General features: G+C 40.1%; 1 protein-coding gene across 29 annotated transcripts in view, besides 2 other annotated features; it reads right to left on the reverse strand.

Moving 5' to 3' along the window:
* Positions 1-21,515, reverse strand: part of CDKL3 (cyclin dependent kinase like 3) — an 88,280-nt gene that overhangs the window by 45,889 nt on the left and 20,876 nt on the right. For 14 of the 29 annotated variants that reach the window (XM_024446091.2, XM_024446099.2, XM_024446104.2 and 11 more), the window contains one exon: positions 20,980-21,194. The exons of 7 other annotated variants lie outside the window; for them this stretch is intronic. In XM_024446091.2, the coding sequence (XP_024301859.1) occupies positions 20,980-21,194 (215 nt within the window). Of the gene's footprint in view, positions 1-1,356; positions 1,474-16,771; positions 17,327-20,979; positions 21,195-21,515 lie in introns of those variants that run through there. 8 more of the 29 variants (NM_001300853.2, XM_024446089.2, NM_001113575.2 and 5 more) reach the window with 3 other exon arrangements.
* Positions 15,822-16,520: an enhancer, noted in NCBI's record as "NANOG-H3K27ac-H3K4me1 hESC enhancer chr5:133680746-133681444 (GRCh37/hg19 assembly coordinates)". NCBI's record gives its function as "activates a minimal SCP1, AML or CMV promoter by ChIP-STARR-seq in naive and primed H9 embryonic stem cells {active_cell/tissue: H9 hESC(naive and primed)}" and the evidence as "EXISTENCE:reporter gene assay evidence [ECO:0000049][PMID:30033119]".
* Positions 16,521-17,220: an enhancer, noted in NCBI's record as "NANOG-H3K27ac-H3K4me1 hESC enhancer chr5:133681445-133682144 (GRCh37/hg19 assembly coordinates)". NCBI's record gives its function as "activates a minimal SCP1, AML or CMV promoter by ChIP-STARR-seq in naive and primed H9 embryonic stem cells {active_cell/tissue: H9 hESC(naive and primed)}" and the evidence as "EXISTENCE:reporter gene assay evidence [ECO:0000049][PMID:30033119]".

Below are 21,515 nucleotides of genomic sequence, written 5' to 3' on the forward strand. Positions count from 1 at the left end.
AGGCTGAAGCAGGAGGATTGATTGAGCCCAGAAGGTTGAGGCTGCAGTGAGTCACGATCACTCCACTGCACTCCAGCCTGGGTAACAGAGTGAGATCCTGTCTCAAAAAAATAAAAAATCCACATGAAAAAACAAAGAGCACTGGTAAAGGTAATTATGTAATTATAAAAGGCAATATAAATGCAGAATTTTCTCTCTTCTTCTGTTAATTAATTTAATTTAATTTAATTTTTTATTTTATTTATTTATTTATTTTTTGAGACAGAGTCTCGCTCTGTCGCCCAGGCTGGAATGCAGTGGAGTGCAGCTCACTGCAAGCTCCGCTTCCTGGGTTGACGCCATTCTCCTGCCTCAGCCTCCAGAGTAGCTGGGATTACAGGCACCCGCCACTACGCCCGGCTAATTTTTTGTATTTTTAGTAGAGAGGGGGTTTCACCATGTTAGCCAGGGTGGTCTCCATCTCCTGACCTCGTGATCCACCCACCTCGGCCTCCCAAAGTGCTGGGATTACAGGCGTGAGCCACCACGCTGTTAATTAATTTTAAAAAGCAATTATACAAGGGGACTTCAAAAAGTTCATGATAATGGAATTAAAAGATAAAAATTAAAATATAAGCTTTATTCTCATTAGCCGGGCATGGTGGCACACACCTGTAATCCCAGCTATTTGGGAGGCTGAGGCAGGAGAATTGCTTGAGTCTGGAAGGTGGAGATTGCAGTGAGGTGAGATCGCGCCACTGCACTCCAGTCTGGGCAACAGAGTGAGACCCTGTCTCAAAAAAAAAAAATTAATAATAATAATAATGATACTCTAAGAAAAAATAAAAATATAAACTTTATTCTCAGTGTAAGATCCATAAGGTTCAAGATACTTTTGTAAGCAGTGATACAAGCCATTTAGTATGTCCCTAAAGAACTGAGTGTCTTGGGAATTTAACCATGTCAATGTAGTCCTTTTTACATTGTTAACTGAAGAAAAATGGGTGCCCTTTATAGATTTTTTAAGATTAGGAAAAAAAAGAATGAGGAGGAACTAAATCAGGACTTTAAGGTAGATGCCTAATAATTTCCCACCAAAATGTTTATAAAATTGCCCTCGTTTGATGAGAGGAATGAGCTGGAGCATGGTCATGGTGGAGATGGACACTCTGGTGAAGCTTTCCCAGACGTTTATTTTGCTAAATCTTTGGCTCACTTTTGGCCAGGTGTAGTGGCTCATGCCTGTAATCTCAACACTTTGGTAGACCAAGGCAGGCAGAGTGCTTGAGCTCAGGAGTTTGAGACCAGCCTGGACAACATGGTGAAACCCCATCTCTACAAAAAATACAAAATGTAGCTGGGCATGGTGGCACATACCTGTAGTCCCAGCTACTTGGGAGGCTGAGGTGGGAGGATTGCTTGAGCCCAGGAAACAGAGGTTGCAGTGAGCCAAGTTCCCACAACTGCACTCCAGTCTGGGTGACAGAGCCAGACCCTGTCTGAAAGAAAAAAAAACAAAAAAAGCTTTGGCTAACTTTCTCGAAACATTCTCACAAGAAGCAGATATTATCATTCTCTGGTCATCCAGAAAGTCAACAAGCAAAATGCCTTGAGCATCCCAAAAAAACCATTGCCATGACCTTTGGTCTTGACTGGACTCTTGCTTTGACCAGCCCACTTCCACCTCTTGGTAGCCAGTGCTTCGTCTTCAGGATAATGTTAGTAAAGCCAGGTTTCATCATCTGTCACAGTTTTTCAAAGAAATGCTTCAGGATCTTGATGCCACCTGTTTAAAATTTCCATTGAAAGTTCTGCTCTCGTCTGCAGCTGATCTGGTTGCAACGGTTTTGGCATCCATCAAGTGGAAAGTTTGCTCAATTTTAATTTTGCAGTCAGAATTGTGTAAGCTGAACCAACTGAGATGTCTATACTGTTGGCTACTGTTTCTACTATTAATCATCCTTCAATTAGGGCAATCGTCCCCTTCAATTAGGGCATGAACAAGATAAATGTTTTCCTCACAAGTTGATGTGAATGGTCTGCTGCTGCAGGCTTCATTTTTAACATCCTTTCCTCCTTTCTTTTTTTAATTTAATTTATTTTTTAAATTACTATAAAGTTCTAGGGTACATGTGTAAAATGTGCAGGTTTGTTACATAGGTATATGTGTGCCATGTTGGTTTGCTGTACCCATCAACTCGTCATTTACATTAGGTATTTCTCCTAACACTATCCCTCCCCCGGGCCCCCACCCACCAACAGGCCCCAGTGTGTGATGTTCCCCTCCCTGTGTCCATGTGTTCTCATTGTTCAACTCCCACTTATGAGAACATGTGGTGTTTGGTTTTCTGTCCTTGTGATATTTTGCTGAGAATGATGGTTTCCAGCTTCATTCATGTCCCTGCAAAGGACATGAACTCGTCCTTTTTTATGGCAAGATAGTATTCCATGGTGTATATGTGCCACATTTTTCTTTATTCAGTCTATTATTGATGGACATTTGGGTTGGTTCCAAGTCTTTGCTATTGTGAATAGTGCCACAATAAACATACGTGTGCATGTGTCTTTATAGTAACATGACTTATAATCCTTTGGGTATATACCCAGTAATGGGATTGCTGGGTCAAATGGTATTTCTAGTTCTCGATCCTTGAGGAATCGCCACACTGTCTTCCACAAAGGTTGAAATAATTTACACTCCCAGTGTAAAAGTGTCCCTATTTCTCCACATCCTCTCCAGCATCTGTTGTTTCCTGACTTTCTAATGATTGCCATTCTAACTGGTGTGAGATGGTATCTCATTGTGGTTTTGATTTGCATTTCTCTGATGACCAGTGATGATAAGCATTTTTTAATGTGTCTGTTGGCTGCATAAATGTATTCTTTTGAGAAGTGTCTGTTCATATCCTTTGCCCACTTTTTGATGCAGTTGTTTTTTTCTTGTAAATTTGTTTAAGTTCTTTGTAGATTCTGGATATTAGCCCTTTGTCAGATAGATAGATTGCAAAAATTTTCTCCCATTCTGTAGGTTGTCTGTTCACTCTGATGATAGTTTCTTTTGCTGTGCAGAAGCTCTTTAGTTTAATTAGATCTCATTTGTCTATTTTGGCTTTTGTTGCCATTGCTTTTGGTGTTTTAGTCATGAAGTCTTTGCCCATGCCTATGTCCTGAATGGTATTGCCTAGGTTTTCTTTTAGGGTTTTTATGGTTTTAGGTCTTACATTTAAGTCTTTAATCCATCTTGAGTTAATTTTTGTGTAAGGTGAAAGGAAGGGATCCAGTTTCAGCTTTCTACATGTGGCTAACCAGTTTTCCCAGCACCGTTTATTAAATAGGGAATTCTTTCCCCATTCCTTGTTTTTGTCAGGTTTGTCAAAGATCAGATGGTTGTAGATGTGTGCTGTCATTTCTGAGGCCTCTGTTCTGTTCCATTGGTCTATATATCTGTTTTGGTACCAGTACCATGCTATTTTGATTACTGTAGCCTTGTAGTATAGTTTGAAGTCAGGTAGTGTGATGCCTCCAGCTTTGTTCTTTTTGCTTAGGATTGTCTTGGCTATGCGGGCTCTTTTTTGGTTCCATGTGAACTTTAAAGTAGTTTTTTCCAATTCTGTGAAGAAAGCCAGTGGTAGCTTTTTGGGGATAGCATTGAATCTATAAACTACCTTGGCCAGTATGGCCATTTTCACGATATTGATTCTTCCTGTCCATGGGCATGGAATGTTCTTCCATTTGTTTGTGTCCTCTCTTATTTCCTTGAGCAGTGGTTTGTAGTTCTCCTTGAAGAGGTCCTTCATATCCCTTGTAAGTTGGATTCCTAGGTATTTTATTCTGTTTGTAGTAATTGTGAATGGGAGTTCACTCATGATTTGGCTCTCCGTTTGTCTGTTCTTGGTGTATAGAAATGCTTGTGATTTTTGCAGAAATGCTTGTGATTTTTGCACATTGATTTTGTATCCTGAGACTTTGCTGAAGTTGCTTATCAGCTTAAGGAGATTCTGGGCTGAGACGATGGGGTTTTCTAAATATACAATCATGTCATCTGCAAACAGAGACAATTTGACTCCCTCTTTTCCTAATTGAATACCCTTTATTTCTTTCTCTTGCCTGATTGCCCTGGCCAGAACTTCCAATACTGTGCTGAATAGGAGTGGTGAGAGAGGACATCCTTGTCTTGTGCCAGTTTTCAAAGGGAATGCTTCCAGTTTTTGCCCATGCAGTATAATATTGGCTGTGGGTTTGTCATAAATAGCTCTTATTTTGAGATACATTCCATCAATACCTAGTTTATTCAGAGTTTTTAGCAAGAAATGCTGTTGAATTTTGTCGAAGGCCTTTTCTGCATCTATTGAGATAATCATGTGGTTTTTGTCATTGGTTCTGTTTATGTGATGGATTACGTTTACTGATTTGTGTATGTTGAACCAGGCTTGCATCCCAGGGATGAAGCTGACTTGATCGTGGTGGATAAGCTTTTTGATGTGCTGCTGGATTTGGTTTGCCAGTATTTTATTGAGGATTTTTGCATCAATGTTCATCATTGATATTGGCCTAAAATTCTGTTTTGTTGTGTTTCTGCCAGGCTTTTGTATCATGATGATGCTGGCCTCATAAAATGAGTTAGGGAGGAGTCCCTCTTTTTCTACTGATGGGAATAGTTTCAGAAGGAATGGTACCAGCTCCTGTTTGTACCTCTGGTAGAATTTGGCTATGAATCCATCTGGTCCTGGACTTTTTTTGGTTGGTAGGCTATTAATTATTGGCTCAATTTCAGAACCTGTTATTGGTCTATTCAGAGATTCAACATCTTCCTGGTTTAGTCTTGGGAGAGTGTATATGTCCAGGAATTTATCCATTTCTTCTACATTTTCTAATTATTTGTGTGGAGGGGTTTGTAGTATTCTCTGATGGTAGTTTGTATTTCTGTGGGATCAGTGGTAATATCTTCTCTATCATTTTTTATTGCATCTATTTGATTCTTCTCTCTTCTTTATTAGTCTTGCTAGCAGTCTATCTATTTTGTTGATCTTTTCAAAAAACCAGCTCCTGGAATCATTGATTTTTTTTGAAGGGCTTTTTGTGTCTCTGTCTCCTTCAGTTCTGCTCTGATCTTAGTTATTTCTTGCCTTCTGCTAGCTTTTGAATTTGAATTTGTTTGCTCTTATTTCTCTAGTTCTTTTAATTGTGATGTTAGGGTGTCAATTTTAGATCTTTCCTGTTTTCTCTTATGGGCACTTAGTGCTATAAATTTCCCTATATACACTGCTTTTGCTGTGTCCCAGAGATTCTGGTATGTTGTGTCTTTGTTCTTGTTGGTTTCAAAGAACATCTTTATGTCTGCCTTCATTTCGTAATTTACCCAGTAGTCATTCAGGAACAGATTGTTCAGTTTCCATATAGTTGTGCGGTTTTGAGTGCATTTCTTAATCCTGAGTTCTAATTTGATTGCACTGTGGTCACAGAGATAGTTTGTTGTGATTTCTGTTCTTTTACATTTGCTGAGGAGTGTTTTACTTCCAATTATGTGGTCAATTTTAGAATAAGTGTGATGTGGTGCTGAGAAGAATGTATATTCTGTTGATTTGGGGTGGAGAGTTCTGTAGATGTCTATTAGGTCCGCTTGGTCCAGAGCTGAGTTCAAGTCCTGGATATCCTTGTTAATTTTCTGTCTTGTTGATCTGTCTGATATTGACCGTGGGGTGTTAAATTCTCCCGTTATTATTGTGTGGGAGTCTAAGTCTCTTTGTAGGTCTCTAAGAACTTGCTTTAAGAATCTGGGTGGTTCTGTGTTGGGTGCATATATATTTAGGATAGTTAGCTCTTCTTGTTGAATTGATCCCTTTGCCATTATGTAACGGCCTTCTTTGTCTCTTTTCATCTTTGTTAGTTTAAAGTCTGTTTTATCAGAGACCAGGATTTCAACCTCTGCTTTTTTTTTTTTTTTCCGCTTTCCATTTGCTTGGTAGATCTTCCTCCATCCCTTTATTTTGAGCCTATATTTGTCTTTGCATGTGAGATGGGTCCCCTGAATACAGCACACTGATGGGTCTTGACTCTTTAACCAATTTGCCAGTCTGTGTCTTTTAATTGGGGCATTTAGCTCATTTACATTTAAGGTTAATATTATTATGTGTGAATTTGATTCTGTCATTATGATGCTAGCTGGTTATTTTGACTGTTAATTGATGCAGTTTCTTCATAGCGTCGATGGTCTTTACAATTTGGCATGTTTTTGCAGTGGCTGGTACCATTTGTTCCTTTCCATGTTTAGTGCTTCCTTCAGGAGCTCTTGTAAGTCAGGCCTGGTGGTGACAAAATCTCTCAGCATCTGCTTGTCTGGAAAGGATTTTATTTCTCCTTCACTTAAAAGCTTAGTTTGGCTGGATATGAAATTCTGAGTTGAAAATTCTTTTCTATAAGAACGTTGAATATTGGCCCCCACTCTCTTCTGGCTTGCAGGGTTTCTGCCAAGAGATCCACTGTTAGTCTGATGAGCTTCCCTTTGTAGGTAACCCAACCTTTCTCTCTGGCTGCCCTTAACATTTTTTCCTTCATTTCAACCTTGGTGAATCTGACAATTATGTGTCTTGGGGTTGCTCTTCTCAAGGAGTATCTTTGTGGTGTTCTCTGTATTTCCAAATTTGAACGTTGGCCTGCCTTGCTAGGTTAGGGAAGTTTTCCTGGGTAATATCCTGAAGAGTGTTTTCTAACTTGGTTCCATTCTCCCTGTCACTTTCAGGTACACCAATCAAACGTAGATTTGGTCTTTTCACATAGTCCCATATTTCTTGGAGGCTTTGTTCGTTTCTTTTCACTCTTTTTTCTCTAATCTTGTCTTCTCGCTTTATTTCATTAATTTGATCTTCAATCACTGATATCCTTTCTTCCACTTGATCAAATCAGCTATTGAAGCTTGTGTATGCTTCATGAAGTTTTTCGTACTGTGGTTTTCAGCTCCATCAGGTCATTTAAGCTCTTCTCTATACTGGTTATTCTAGTTAGCCATTCGTCTAACCTTTTTTCAAGGTTTTTAGCTTCCTGGCAATGGGTTACAACATGCTCCTTTAGCTCAGAGAAGTTTGTTATTACCGCCCTTCTGAAGCCTACTTCTGTCAACTTGTCAAACTCATTCTCCATCCAGTTTTGTTCCCTTGCTGGTGAGGAGTTGTGTTCCTTTGGAGGAGAAGAGGCATTCTGGTTTTTGGAATTTTCAGCCTTTCTGCTCTGGTTTCTCCCCATCTTTATGGTTTTATCTACCTTTGGTCTTTGATGTTGGTGACCTGTGGATGGGGTTTTGGTGTGGATGTCCTTTTGTTGATGTCGATGCTATTCCTTTCTGTTTGTTAGTTTTCCTTCCAACAGACAGGCCCCTCAGCTGCAGGTCTGTTGGAGTTTGCTGGAGGTCCACTCCAAATCCTATTTGCCTGGGTATCACCAGCGGAGGCTGCAGAACAGCAAATATTGCTGCCTGATCCTTCCTCTGGAAGTTTCGTCCCAGAGGGGCACCTGCCTGTATGAAGTGTCCGTTGGCCCCTACTGGGAGGTGTCGCCCAGTCAGGCTACATGGGGGTCAGGGACCCACTTGAGGAGGCAGTCTGTCTGTTATCGGAGCTCAGATGTCATGCTGGCAGAACCACTGCTCTCTTCAGAGCTGTCAGGCAGGGACGTTTAAGTCTGCAGAAGCTGTCTGCTGCCTTTTGTTCAGATATGCCCTGCCTCTGGAGGTGGAATCTAGAGAGGCAGTAGTCCTTGCTGAGCTGCGATGAGCTCTGCCCAGTTCGAGTTTCCCTGCTGCTTTGTTTACACTGTGAGCATAGAACCGCCTACTCAAGCCTCAGAAATGGCGGATGCCCCTCCCCCCACCAAGCTCCAGTGTCCCAGGTAGATCTCAGACTGCTGCACTAGCAGCAAGCAAGGCTCCATGGGCATGGGACCTGCTGAGCCAGGCACGGGAGAGAATCTCCTGGTCTGACAGTTGCAAAGACCATGGGGAAAGCACAGAATTTGGGTAGGAGTGTAATGTTCCTCCAGGTACAGTCACTCATGGCTTCCCTTCACTAGGAAAGGGAAATCAATCCCTGACCCCTTGCACTTCCTGGGTGAGGCGACGCCCCTCCCTGCTTCGGCTCGCCCTCTGTGGGCCGTACCCACTGTCCAACCAGTCCCAGTGAGATGAACCAGGTACCTTAGTTGGAAATGCAGAAATTACCCATCTTCTGCATTAGTCTTGCTGGGAGCTGTAGACCGGAGATATTCCTATTGGGCCATCTTGGTGTTTTCTCACCATTTCCTCCTTTCTTAAAACAAGTTATCCATTTGTAAGCTGCTGGTTTCTTTGGAGGCACTGTCTCCATAAACTTTTCATAAAGCCAAGCCTGTAATCCCAGCACTTTGGGAGGCTGATGCAGTAGGATTGCTTGAGCCCAGGAATTTGAGGCTAGCTTTGCCAACACTGCAAGACCTTGTTTCTACATTAACATTTTAAAATTTTAAAAAAATTGGGAAAATAAAGAACTTTTCATAAAGCATCAATGCTTTCACCATTCTTCCACTCAAGCTTCATCATGAATTTGATGCTTGTTCTTGCTTCAATTTTAGCAGAATTCATATTGTTTTGATAGAGGCTCTTTTCCAACTGATGTATTATCCTTCTTAATGCCTCAAACTAGATCCTATTCAGACATGTTATAACAAGTTAGTGTGAGTTTATTTTGGTGCAAAAAAAAGTTAAAGCCATGCATAGTTTTTTCATAATATGCATTTCCATGAACTTTTTGAAGACCCCTCATACAAAATAATATGCAAGCCATTAGAGCTGCCTCTACCTAGGGAAAAAATAATATGCATGCAATACATTATTGGGCCTATAACATTACAAATGTAATATGTGTAATATATTTGCTAATGACATCAAAAAGGAAGTGAGAGGGAGTAAAACTATATTGAGTTTAGAGAAATGACTATAAAGAAAAAGTAATAATGGTTTGTAACATTATTAGATGTAATATGTACAACAAATATACCACACAAAGATGGAAAAGGGAATAGAATGACATAAGAATAACTTTTCTATACCTGTATCACTGGAATTAAACTAGTATAAATAGGAACTTATCAGTTGATTCTGATAAGGTGTAAACCTTAGAGCAACCACTAAAAAGAAAAAAAAGGAACAACCCTCAAAAATATAGTAAAGGCCAGGTGTGGTGGCTCACACCTGAAATCCCAAAACTTTGGGAGGCTGAGGCAGGAGAATCACTTGAGGCCAGGAGTTCGAGACCAGCCTGGCCAATATGGTGAAACTCCATCTCTGCTAAAAAAAAAAATACAAAAATTAGCCAGGCTTGGTGGCACACACCTGAAATCTCAGCTACTCAGGAGGCTGAGGCAGGAGAATCACTTGAAAAGAGGAGGCAGAGGTTTCAGTGAGCCAAGATTGCCCTGCTGCACTCCAGCCTGGGTGACAGAGTGAGACTCTATCTCAAAACACACACACACAGATAGTAAAAAAAATTATTAAAGAAATTAAAATAATTAGGAAATAATCATTTAATGCAAAATAATGCAGCAAAGGAGGAGCAAGAAAACAACATGAGACAAACACAAAAAACTAAAATGGCAGATGTAATTACAACTACGTCAATAATAACATTAAATGGGGTCGGGCACGGTGGCTCACACCTGTATTCCCAGAGCTTTGGTAGGCCTAGGTGGGTGGATCACTTGAGGTCAGGAATTTGAGACCAGCCTGGCCAACGTGGTGAAACACCATCTCTACTAAAAATACAAAAATTAGCCGGGCATAGTGGTGGATGCCTGTAATCCCAGCTATTCAGGAGGGTGAGGAAGGGAGAACTGCTTGAACCCGGAGGCAGAAGTTGTAGTGAGGTAGTGAGCCAAGATCGTGCCACTGCACTCCAGCCTGGGTGACAGAGTGAGACTCTGTCTCACAAAAAATAAATAAATAAATAAAAATAATAATGGCATTAAACGTTAACAGATTAACCAATCCAGCAAAAGGCAGAGACTGTCAGCCTGGAGGGGGAAAAAAACCTCATGATCTAACTATATGTTGTTTAGGCAAGATATACTTTATATTCGATATACAAACATTATAAGTAAAGGTTGTGAAAAAGATATATCATGCAATCAACAATCACAAGAAAACTAAAAAGACTGCCCTAATACAAGACAAAATAGACTTTTAACAAAAAAATGTTACTAGAGATGAAGAGGGAAATTTCATAATGATAAAGGGGGAATCTATTAGAAAACTGTAATAATGATAAGCATGTCTAAACCAATTAGAAAATCAAGAAGAGAAAATATGAACAACATGATAAACAAATTAGACCTAATAACTATCTTTAGAACACTTTACAGAACAACAATAGAATATACATTTATATATTGTTCTCAAGTCACATGGAACATTCTCCAGGATAGCCCATGTGCTGGACCATAAATAAACCTCAGTAAATTTAAAAGGGCAGAAATTACACGAAGTATATTCTCTTATTACAATGGAATAAAATTAAATATTAATTGCAGGAAAAATTTTGGAAATTTACAAATATGTGGATATTAAACTACATTTGACGAAATAACCAATGGGTACAAGGTGAAATCAAAAGGGTAATCAGAAAATACTTTGAGGCTGGGCACAGTAGCTCATTCCTTTAATCTCAAAACTATGGGAAGCAGAGAGGTAGGAGGGTCACTTGAGTACAGGAGTTTGAGACCAGCCTGGGTAACACAGTGAGACCTCGTCTCTGCAAAAAAATGAACAAAATTAGCCAAGCATGAGGGCACACACCTGTAGTCTCAGCTACTCGGGAGGCTGAGGTGGGAGGATCACTTAAGCTGGGGAAGTCAAGGCTGCAGTGATCCGAGATCACACCACTGCATTCCAGCCTGAGCAACAGAGCAAGATCCTGTCTCAAAAAAGAAAAAGAAAAAGAAAATCCTTTGAGACTAATGAAAATGAAGACACAACATACCAGCATTTGTGGGATGCAGTAAAGCAGAGAGGGAAATGTATAGCTGTAATGCCTATATGAAGAAAGATATCAAATCAGTAACCTAACCTTCCACCTTAAGACACTGGAAAAAGAAGGGCAAACTAAACCAAGCAAACAAAAAGAAGGAAATATTTAAAAAGCAAAAGTTCATTAAATAGAGAATAAGAAAACAGAGAAAATCAATGAAACCAAAAGCTATTTTTTTGTAAATCAACAAAATTGAAAAACATTTAGTTAGAATGACCAAGAGCAAAAGAGAGAAAACTCAAAGTATTAGAATCAGAAATGAAAGAGGTGACATTACTACTGACTTTACAGAAATTAAAAAGATTATAAAGGAATACATAATTGTTTGCCAACAGATTAGATAACTTAGATTAAATGAATAGCTTCCCAGAAAAACACAAACTACTGAAACTGGCTCAATAAAAAATAGACAATCTCAATAAACTTTTAACAAGTGAAAAGACTGAATTCATGATTTTTTTAAAAAACTACCCGCAAAGAAAAGCCCAGGCCTAGATGATGTCACTACTGAATTCTATCATTTAAAGAAGAATTAATACCAAGTCTTCACAAACTCTTTCAAAAAACAGAAGGAACACATCCCATCTCATTTTTTAAAACCAGTATTTCCCTGATACCCAAACCAGTAAAAAAGAAAACTACAAATATCTTTTATGAATGTGAACACAAAATTCTCAACAAAATACTAGCAAACTGAATCCAGCATCATATAAAAGGAATTATGCACTGTGACCAACTGGGATTTATTCTAGGAACACAAGGTTGGTTCAATATCCAAAAACCAATAAATGTAATATAATACATCAATAGAATAAAAACCAAAAAAATTTCTCATTTTGATCATTTCAATAGACAAAGAAAAAACATTTGATAAAATCCAACACCCCTTCATGATAAAAGCACTCAACAAACTAAGAATAAAAGGAAACTTCCCCAACCTGATAAAAGGCATCTATGAAAAATCATCTAATATCATACTTAGACTGAATGATTTCCCGATAAGATTAGGAACAAGACAAGGATGTCTGCTCTTGCCACTTCTGTTCAACATTGTACTGCAGATTCTACTCAGCACAATTAGACAGGAAAAAGAAATAAAAGGCATCCAGACCAGCAAAAAGGTAAAACTATATCTATTCACAGATGACATGATCTTCTATGTAGAAAATCCTAAAGAATCCACTAAACTACTATGAGAACCAATAAACAAGTTCAGCAAAGTTGCATGATAATGATATGAGTTAAGAAGAAATTATTTAGGCAGGCAGTGAGGGTACGGGATCCTCAGTAAGGTTTTCCTTTTAATGAAAAGCAGCCCCAAATCATTTTCTTTTCTAACAAAAAGCAGCCTGTAAAATTGTGCTGCAGACACAGACACGCAAGCTGTAAGCTTGCACAGGTGAATGCCAGCAGTTGTGCCAACAGGAAAAGGCTACCTGGGACTAAGCATGTTCAAAATGGTGGCTCCATCTTCCCTTCTCTTTGCCAAACCACATGTAGAGTAAGAAGACAATATGGCCCCAGCCAGGCAAAGATCCAATTTGCATAATAAGATTAGAGTGGGGCAACCAGCCTTCCCCTTGCAGTATGTAACTGTCACACCTGGTCGAACCAATCTGTGGGCCCTACATAAATCAGACACCATCTCCTCAAACCTGCCTATAAAATCTAATGCAGTCTGCTGCGGGCCAGATTTTGCTTTAGGAGGCCCCTCTTTCTCACTAGGGAGAAAGCTGTTCTCCTTTCTCTTTCTTTTGCCTATTAAACCTCTGCTCCTAAACTCACTCCTCATGCATGTCCATGTCCTTCATCTCCTTGGCACGAGATGACGAACCCTGGGTATTTACTCCAGACAATGACACCACTTCAATATGAACTCAATATACAAAAATAAGTTGTATTTTTATGCCCGTGCAATGAACAATTTGAAATCAAATTAAGAAAACTCCATTCATGATAGCATCAAAAAGAATAAGATACTTAAGAATAAATTTTACAAAACAAGTGCAAAATGTATGCTTTGAAAACTACAAAACATTGTTGAAAAAATTATGGAAGCCGGGTGCGGTGGCTCACGCCTGTAATCCCAGCACTTTGGGAGGCCGAGGCAGGTGGATCATGAGGTCAGAAGATCGAGACCATCCTGGCTAACACGGTGAAACCCCATCTCTACTAAAAAAATACAAAAAATTAGCCAGACGTAGTGGCGGACGCTTGTAGTCCCAGCTACTCGGGAGGCTGAGGCAGGAGAATGGCGTGAACCTGGGAGGCGGAGCTTGCAGTGAGCCGAGATTGTGCCACTGCACTCCAGCCTGGGCGACAGAGCAAGACTCTGTCTCAAAAAAAAAAAAGAAAAAGAAAAAGAAAAATTTATGGAAGATCTAAATAAATGGCAAAACATTCTAAATTCACAGATTAGAATAAGAGTTAACATTTTTAAGACAGCAATAACCTCCAAACTAATCCACAGATACAATGTAATCCATATCAGAATCTCAGATGTCTGTTTTGCAAAAATTGAGAAGCTGATCTTAAAATTCATATGGAATTGGAAGGGACCTAGAATAGCCAAAACAATCTTGGAAAAGTAAATAAAGTAGAAAGACTCACACTTTCTGATTTCAAACTTGCTACAAAGCAATAGTCATTAAGACAGTGTGTCGGCTGCGTGCGGTGGCTCCTGCCCGTAATCCCAATGCTTTGGGAGTCCAAGGCAGGCAGATTGCTTGAGCCCAGCCATTCAAGACCAGCCGGGCCAACGTGGTGAAATCCCGTCTCTACAAAAAATTTAAAAATTAGCCAGGCTTGGTGGTGCACCCCTGTAGTCCCAACTACTCAGGAGGCTGAGGTGGGAGGATTGTTTGAGCCTGGAAGGTGGAGGTTGCTGTGGGCCAAGATCATGCCACTGCACTCCAGCCTGGGCAACAGAGTGAGATCTTGTCAAAAAAAAAAAAAAGGAAAGAAAGTGCGTTGCTGGAAAAAGGACAGCCTTACAGATCAATGGAACAGAATTGAGATTCTAGAAATAAGCCCTTATGAAACCACCTTTGCAAAATTATGACTGAGACAGTGAAGGAGATCTAACTTAATTGACTCCATCTTGCTTCTAACCTCCAAGCTGTCCTCGTTCATTCCTGGGCGTAGGCTGGACTAACTTCAGGAGAAACTTCGTTTATAGTTTATAGTTTAACACAAAGACAGTAACAACCCTTTCCCAAAGCAGACTTCCTTCTTGCCTGGGGACCAGATTGCCTTTGTAGGACTAACATTAGCCACAAGATTAGAAATTATGGTTTAGGAGTCATGTAGCTGAAGGCTACAAGATTCTGACCCTCCATAAACTGCTCCTAAGATCAGTGCTTGAGATATTTTGCAAACCCTGTACTTGATGGATCAGCTGGCACCACCCATATTGCTAAACTGGCTTATCTGATCTCATGGCCGCCCCAGACCCAGGAAGTGATTCAGTGCAAGAAGACAGCTTCCACTCCCTATGATTTCAAACCTGATCAATCAGAACTCCCAGCTCACTGGCCTCCCTCTACCCACCAAGTTGTCCTTAAAAACTCTGCTCCCTGAATGCCCAAGGAGACTGATTTGAGTAATAATAAAACTCCAGTCTCCTGCACACTCACGCCGGCTCTGCGTGAGTTATTCTATCTCTATTGCAATTCCCGTCTTGATGAATCGGCTCTGTCTAGGCAGCGGGCAAGGTGAACCCCTTGAGCAGTTACACTTACATCTATAGTCAACTGAATTTCAAAAAGAGCCCAACACCATAATGGGGAAAGAACAATATTTTCATCAAATGGTGCTGGGACAACAACTGGATAGCCAAATGCAAAAGAATGAACTTGGACTCTTACCTTATAGCATATACAAAAATTAACTCAAATGGATCAGACTTGAATGTAAGAGCTAAAGTTATAACTCTTAGAAGAAAATGTAACTGTAAATCTTCATAACCCTGGATTTGGCAAACAATTTTGAAATATGATACCAAAAGCATAGGCAACAAAAGAAACAGATAAATTGGACTTCTTAAAATTAAAAACATTTGAAAATCAAAAGACAGAATCAAGAAAGTGAAGACACAACCCATAAAATGGAAGAACATACTTGTAAATCACATATCTGATAAGGAATTTGTATCTAGGATATGCAGAAAATTCTTACAACTCAATAATAAAAAGACAACTCATTTTAAAAATAGGCAAAGGATCTGAACAGACATTTCTCCAAGGACAATATACAAATGGCCAATAAGCACACGCACACACAAAAAGACATTCAACCTCAGTAGACATTAGGGAAATGTGAATCAAACCCACAATGAGATACCACTTCACACCCATTAGAGTAGCTAGAATAAAAAAGTCAGGCTTCAGCGTGGTGGCTCACACCTATCATCCTAACACATTGGTAGGCTGAGGCGGGAGGATCACTTAAGCCCAGGAATTCAAAATCAGCCTAGTCAAAATAGCGAGACCCTGTCTCTACAAAATAAAAAAGCCAGCCATAGGCTGGGTGCAGTGGCTCACATCTGTAATCTCAGCACTTTGGGAGGCCGAGGCAGGTCGATCACGAGGTCAGGAGTTCGAGACCAGCCTGACCAACATGGTGAATCCCCAGCTCTACAAAAATACAAAAAAAAATTAGCCGGGTGTGGTGCCATGCGCCTGTAGTCCCAGCTACTCAGGAGGCTGAGGCAGGAGAATTGCTTGAACCCAGGAGGCGGATGTTGCAGTGAGCCGAGATCACGCCACTGCACTCCAGCCTGGGCGACAGAGAGAGACTCTGTCTCAAAAAAAATAAAATAAATAAAAATCTATAAAGATAGAGAAGAGAGTAGTGATTGCTTAGGGTTAGGGAGGGAGTTCAGAGGTATAGGGGTGTCATAGATAAAGGGTATGGGGTTTTTACTGAGGTGATGAAAACTGACTGGTGATGGTAGTACATATCTGTGAATACACTAAAAACCACTGAAATTTACTTCAGATGGATGAACTGTATTATATAAAAATATCTCAATAATGCTGTTTTTAATAAAGACATAATATGGCTGATACCAGGTCTGGGGCAACAACATGTGAAAAATGAGCCTGGACTGCTATCTTGTCAGTCAGGTCACAAGGAAAGTATCAGAGACTACATACTAGGTCCTGTTAAAAGGACTTGGGAAGCCACCTTGAAAAGGCACCTTTCACTCGTGTCCGTGTGAAGAGACCACCAAACATGCTTTGTGTGAGCAACAAGGCTGTTTATTTCACCTAGGTGCAGGCGGGCTGAGTCCGAAAAGAGAGTCAGCAAAGGGAGATGGGGTGGGGCTGTTTTATGTGATTTGGGTAGGTAGTGGAAAATTACAGTCAAAGGGGGTTGTTCTTTGGCAGGCAGGGGCAGGGGACACAAGATGCTCAGTGGGGGAGCTTTTGAGCCTGGATGAGCCAGGAGAAGGAATTTCACAAGGTAATGTCATCAGTTAAGGCAGGAACAGGCCATTTTCACTTCTTTTGTGATTCTTCAATTACTTCAGGCCATCTGGATGTATCCGTGCAGGTCACAGGGGATATGATGGCTTAGGTTGGGCTCAGAGGCCTGACAGCACCCACTGATTTTGAACTTCAGTAATAATAACAATTGTGTCCAGGCTTAGACTATGATACCTGAAAGTATGGTGCTTTGGCATGATACATACTTTGAACTGAAGGAGATTAGAAGGGTCTCAGAAACAAAATCTCTCTGACCTTCTCCTGCTCTCCTTTCTCCCCCAAGGTGTATCACAGAAACCAGGATTCCTCTTCCGCCTGCCCACCTCCAGAGCGATTAGAATTCCTCTTCCCCAAAGCAAGCCATAAAACATAGAATGGTCACTCTCTGATCCACCTCCCTTGAAAGTAAGTCATAAGACCTTCATTCCAGAGAGGTCCTGCCCATACCTGGAAGGAAGGAATGCAAAACAGAGAGGCCAGGAAGAATCTGAACAAACAGGCCTTGCTGGGTTTATTACCATTAGATCATACTCCTTTTGCCCAATCATGTTTCTCTACACCTATCCACTCCTTTCAGCAAACAGCATAAAATCAGACAGTGTTCTCCCTGGGTCTTTGGGTTTTCATTTATGAAGGCTTCCATGTCACATTGAACTTTGTTAAATTTGTCACGCTTTTCTCTTGCTAACCTATCTTTTGTTATAAGGGTATTGGCTGTGACTCTTGTTACAGGTAGGGAAAAGGTATTACCTTTTTTTGTTTTTGAGACGGAGTTTCGCTCTTGTTGCCCAGGCTGAGGTGCTGCGGTGCGATCTCGGCTCACCGCAACCTCTGCCTCCCGGGTTCAAGCGTTTTTCCTGCCTCAGTCTCTCGAGTAGCTGGGATTACAGGCATGCACCACCACGCCTGGCTATTTTTGTATTTTTAGTAGAGACGGGGTTTCTCCATGTTGGTCAGGCTGGTCTTGAACTGCTGACCTCAGGTGATCCGCCCACCTCGGCCTCCCAAAGTGCTGGGATTACAGGCATGAGCCACCGTGCCCAGCCGGGAAAAGGTATTATCTTTTTGCCCCGATAATTGCAATGCATTGAAACCCATTAAATATGTTTAAGTCCATGAGTTCATAATGATATTTCTAAAAAAATTAATTAGTTGCTTTTGGAGGTCACCTGTTGGAGCCAATTCATCTTTAAAATTGATAAACAAATCAAGCATTTACCCAGTTTCTCTATGTGAACTATACCATTAGGTAACCAAATAAGGGGAAATGTCCATTTATAAAAGTATTCAAGTAATAAATTAAAAAGAGATGATAAAGTTAAACCTCCATAGTAATGAAATATGATAATATTAGGGTAAACAGAAACTGGGTGAGGACTATGGGGAAACTCTCTATACTATCTTTGTAACTTTTCTGTAAATCTAAAATTATCCCAAAATAAAGTTTACTTTAAAAAAAAAAAAGGCTAGGATGGCTATTAAACAAAAGAACATAATGGTAAGTGCTAGCAAAGACATGGAGACACTGAAACTCTCACACTCAGCTAGTGGGAATGTAAAATGGTACAAACACTTTGGAATACAGTCTGGCAGTTCTTCAAAGACTAAACATAGAGTTACTGTATGACCCACAATTCTAACTCCTAAGTATATACCCAAAAGAAATGAAAACATATGTCCATACAAAAACAAGTTACACGGACACCCATAGCAGCATTACCCATAATAGCTAAAAAGTAAAAATAACCCAGATGTCCATCAGTTGATGAATGGGTAAATAAAAAGAGCTCTATCCATTCAGTGGAATATTATTCAGCCATAAAAAGGAATAAAGTGCTGGCTGGGCACGGTGGCTCATGCCTGTAATCCCAGCATTTTGAGAGGCCGAGGCGAGCAGATCACTTGAGGTAGGGAGTTCAAGACCAAATGGCAAAACCCCATCTCTGCTAAAAAAAAAAAAAAAAAAAAAAAAGAAATGAAGTACTAATACATGCTATGTTAAGTGAAAAAAGCTAGTCCCAAAGGACCATATATTATATAATTCTACTTATATGAAATGTCCAGAATAGGCAAATCCATAGCGAATGAAAGCAGATAGGAGTTTATCTAGGCCTGGAAGGGTTGGGAGGAAACGGAGAGTTACAGTGGGTACAGGGTTTCGTTTTGGGGTGATAAATATGTTCTAAAATTGACTATGGTTATGGTTGTACAACTCTGTGAATACACTGTAAACCACTTAATTGTACATTTTAAATAGGTGACTTGTAAGATATATGAATCATATCTCAAAAAAGGCTAGATTAAACTAAATGGAGGCACATTTGGGTGACAAAACTTCTTTAAAATGCAAGGAAATGGCCAGGCCTGGTGGCTCACACCTGGAATCCCAGCACTTTGGGAGGCTGAGGCAAAAGGACTGCTTGAGGGCAGGAGTTCGAGACAGCCTGGGCAACATAGTGAGACCTGTCTCTATTATTTTAAAAAATGCAAGGAAATGATTACAATAAAAATCAGTATCGTGGTTGCTTTGTAGGGAAGGGAGCATGTTACAACTGCAGTAGGGCACACAAAGGGTTTTCTGGGGTGGTGGGCAAAATCCTATTTTTTGATCAGGTGGTGGAGCTATCCATTTGTTATGTGAGATATTCTGTGTCTGTGTTTTCTTTTACAATAAAAGTTTTCAAAATGGACTCACTAGCAAATTTGTTTCAAACACAATGTGAAGTCTCCTAGAATCCAACCTTACTGTGGGCCAGGCACCAAGTTTGGTTATGCAGAATACAAGAGATTATGCCTATCCTTGAGGAACTTAACTTTTAGTGGGAGGTTAAAAAAAAAAGAGCTAGAGAAAGAACTAGCCCATGTTAAATATTAACTGACACAAAATTTACAGATAATGTACTAAAAGATGTCAACTAGGATTGGGGGGCTAGGGAGTATATCAGAAAAGGAATTTAAGCTACATCATCAAATGAGGGTAAAACTGAGACAGAGAGATCTTATGCAGGCTACATTATGTCCAGAGGCAAAAAAGAAATAAAGAAAAAATTTTTGAGGACTTTGAGTAAGAGTAGATATTTATTGAGCATATATCAAATCATTTAATCCTCATCACAAACCTATGAAGTGAGTCCTATTATTATTTCCATTTTATAGATGAAGTAATTGAGGTACAGAGACAGTCTGTACAGGGTATCAACGGTAGGTACAGTTGAAAAGGTACCCAGGGGAATGGATTGTGAATCCTGACCACCTGGGTTAGAATCCTGGTTCAGTTCTGCTATTAAGCAGCTATGTGACTTCAGGCAAATTACTTGACCTCTGTGTCTTAGTGTTCTACTGTTTAAAATGAGAATGCTAATAGTAGCAACTTCATCATAGGGTTGTTGTAAGGATTAAATTATTTGATGTATCTAAAGCATTTAGAACAGTTTCTGGCAGAAAGTAAGTACCCATTAATATTACATATTATTATAATAACACAATAATAATTTCTAGGAAAGGCACAAGAATTATCCTCCTCCATGTATTCTATTAAATCAGGTATTAAATTACATACTTTTATCTCTTTATGCTCAAGATTGATTATTTATATTTTAGGCTGCTGTTTTATGTTAGACCGAGATCATGCTACTTTTGAAGTAATTCTCCTGTTTCAGCCTCCCGAGTAGCTGGGACTACAGGCGCATGCCACCACGCCTGGCTAAATTTTGCACCTAAAACAGTACAATTTAAAATTATTTGCCAGTCTTCACAAAGAGGGTACCATTTTTCCAGGAAATGGGAAACTCGGCAGTTCCTACTGCAACACTAGCAGAGTAAGGTAAATGATTTCAAATCTTTGCAGAATGTAGAGGCTAAAGATAAACAGAAGAGGGAACTCTGCCGAGGGCATGGCACAGCTTAAAGCAAATATAGATACACACTGAGGGATGTCTGCATAGGTCTTCTGGAGCTGTGTCCATTCAGCCTGTGAGAGCTGAGTGAGCGTAGCAGTAGCAGTAGCCAGCAATGCAGGTACCTAAAGGATCTGTTATGTTACCTTTAAAGGTGTCCCTCTTCTTAGCCCCAACCTAGATGCAGACGGCAGAATGTGTCAGTATTAGGGGTGACAGATATACAAGCACATACCAAGGGATAAAAGAGATACCTAGGAGGCTAGGCACACTGACTCACGCCTGTAATCCTAGCACTTTGGGAGGCCGAGGCAGGTAGATCACCTGAGGTCAGGAGTTCGAAACCAGCCTGACCAATATTGTGAAACCCCGTCTCTACTAAAAATACAAAAATTAGCCAGGAGTGGTGGTGTGCACCTGTAGTCCCAACTACTTGGGAGGCTGAAACAGGAGAATTGCTTGAACCTGGGAGGTGGAGGTTGCAGTGAGCCAAGATTGCACCACTGCATTCCAGCCTGGGTGACAGAGCAACACGCCATCTCAAAAAATAAACAAAAAAAGAGATACCTAGGAAAGGCTGACAGGATCCCAAAATACACATACTTTCCATAAGAAGTATCTTTTAATACTAATTCGGGAGCTCTATACCAGCGTGTGGCCACATAGTCCGTATAAATGTCCCCAGGAGCTGCTAGTGTTCGTGCAAAACCAAAATCACAGAGCTTAGTAATTCCTGACTGGGATACTAAAATATTCTCAGGTTTTATATCTCGATGAATGATCTAAAAAACAAACAGAATACAAAATACATTAAAATGAGATTTCATTATCCAGAATCTCTCAAAAATTATACTGAGAAAATCTAGCTAATTAAGATAGTAAAGCTATTTCCTTACCACATGCAAAGGATTAATTACACAATGCAAATATAGTTATATGTTTTCAATTCTTGCCCCATCCATCACCTCAAAATAAAATGAAGCTAAGAAAACAGACATAATACTAAAAAGGCAAATAACATTCCTGTAAGAAAAACCAAAAGAACTTAATGAGGCTGGGAGTGGTGGTTCATGCATGTAAACCTAGTACTTTGGGAGGCCAAG

The sequence above is a fragment of the Homo sapiens genome, chromosome 5, assembly GCF_000001405.40.
Source record: "Homo sapiens chromosome 5, GRCh38.p14 Primary Assembly".
NCBI lineage: Eukaryota > Metazoa > Chordata > Mammalia > Primates > Hominidae > Homo > Homo sapiens.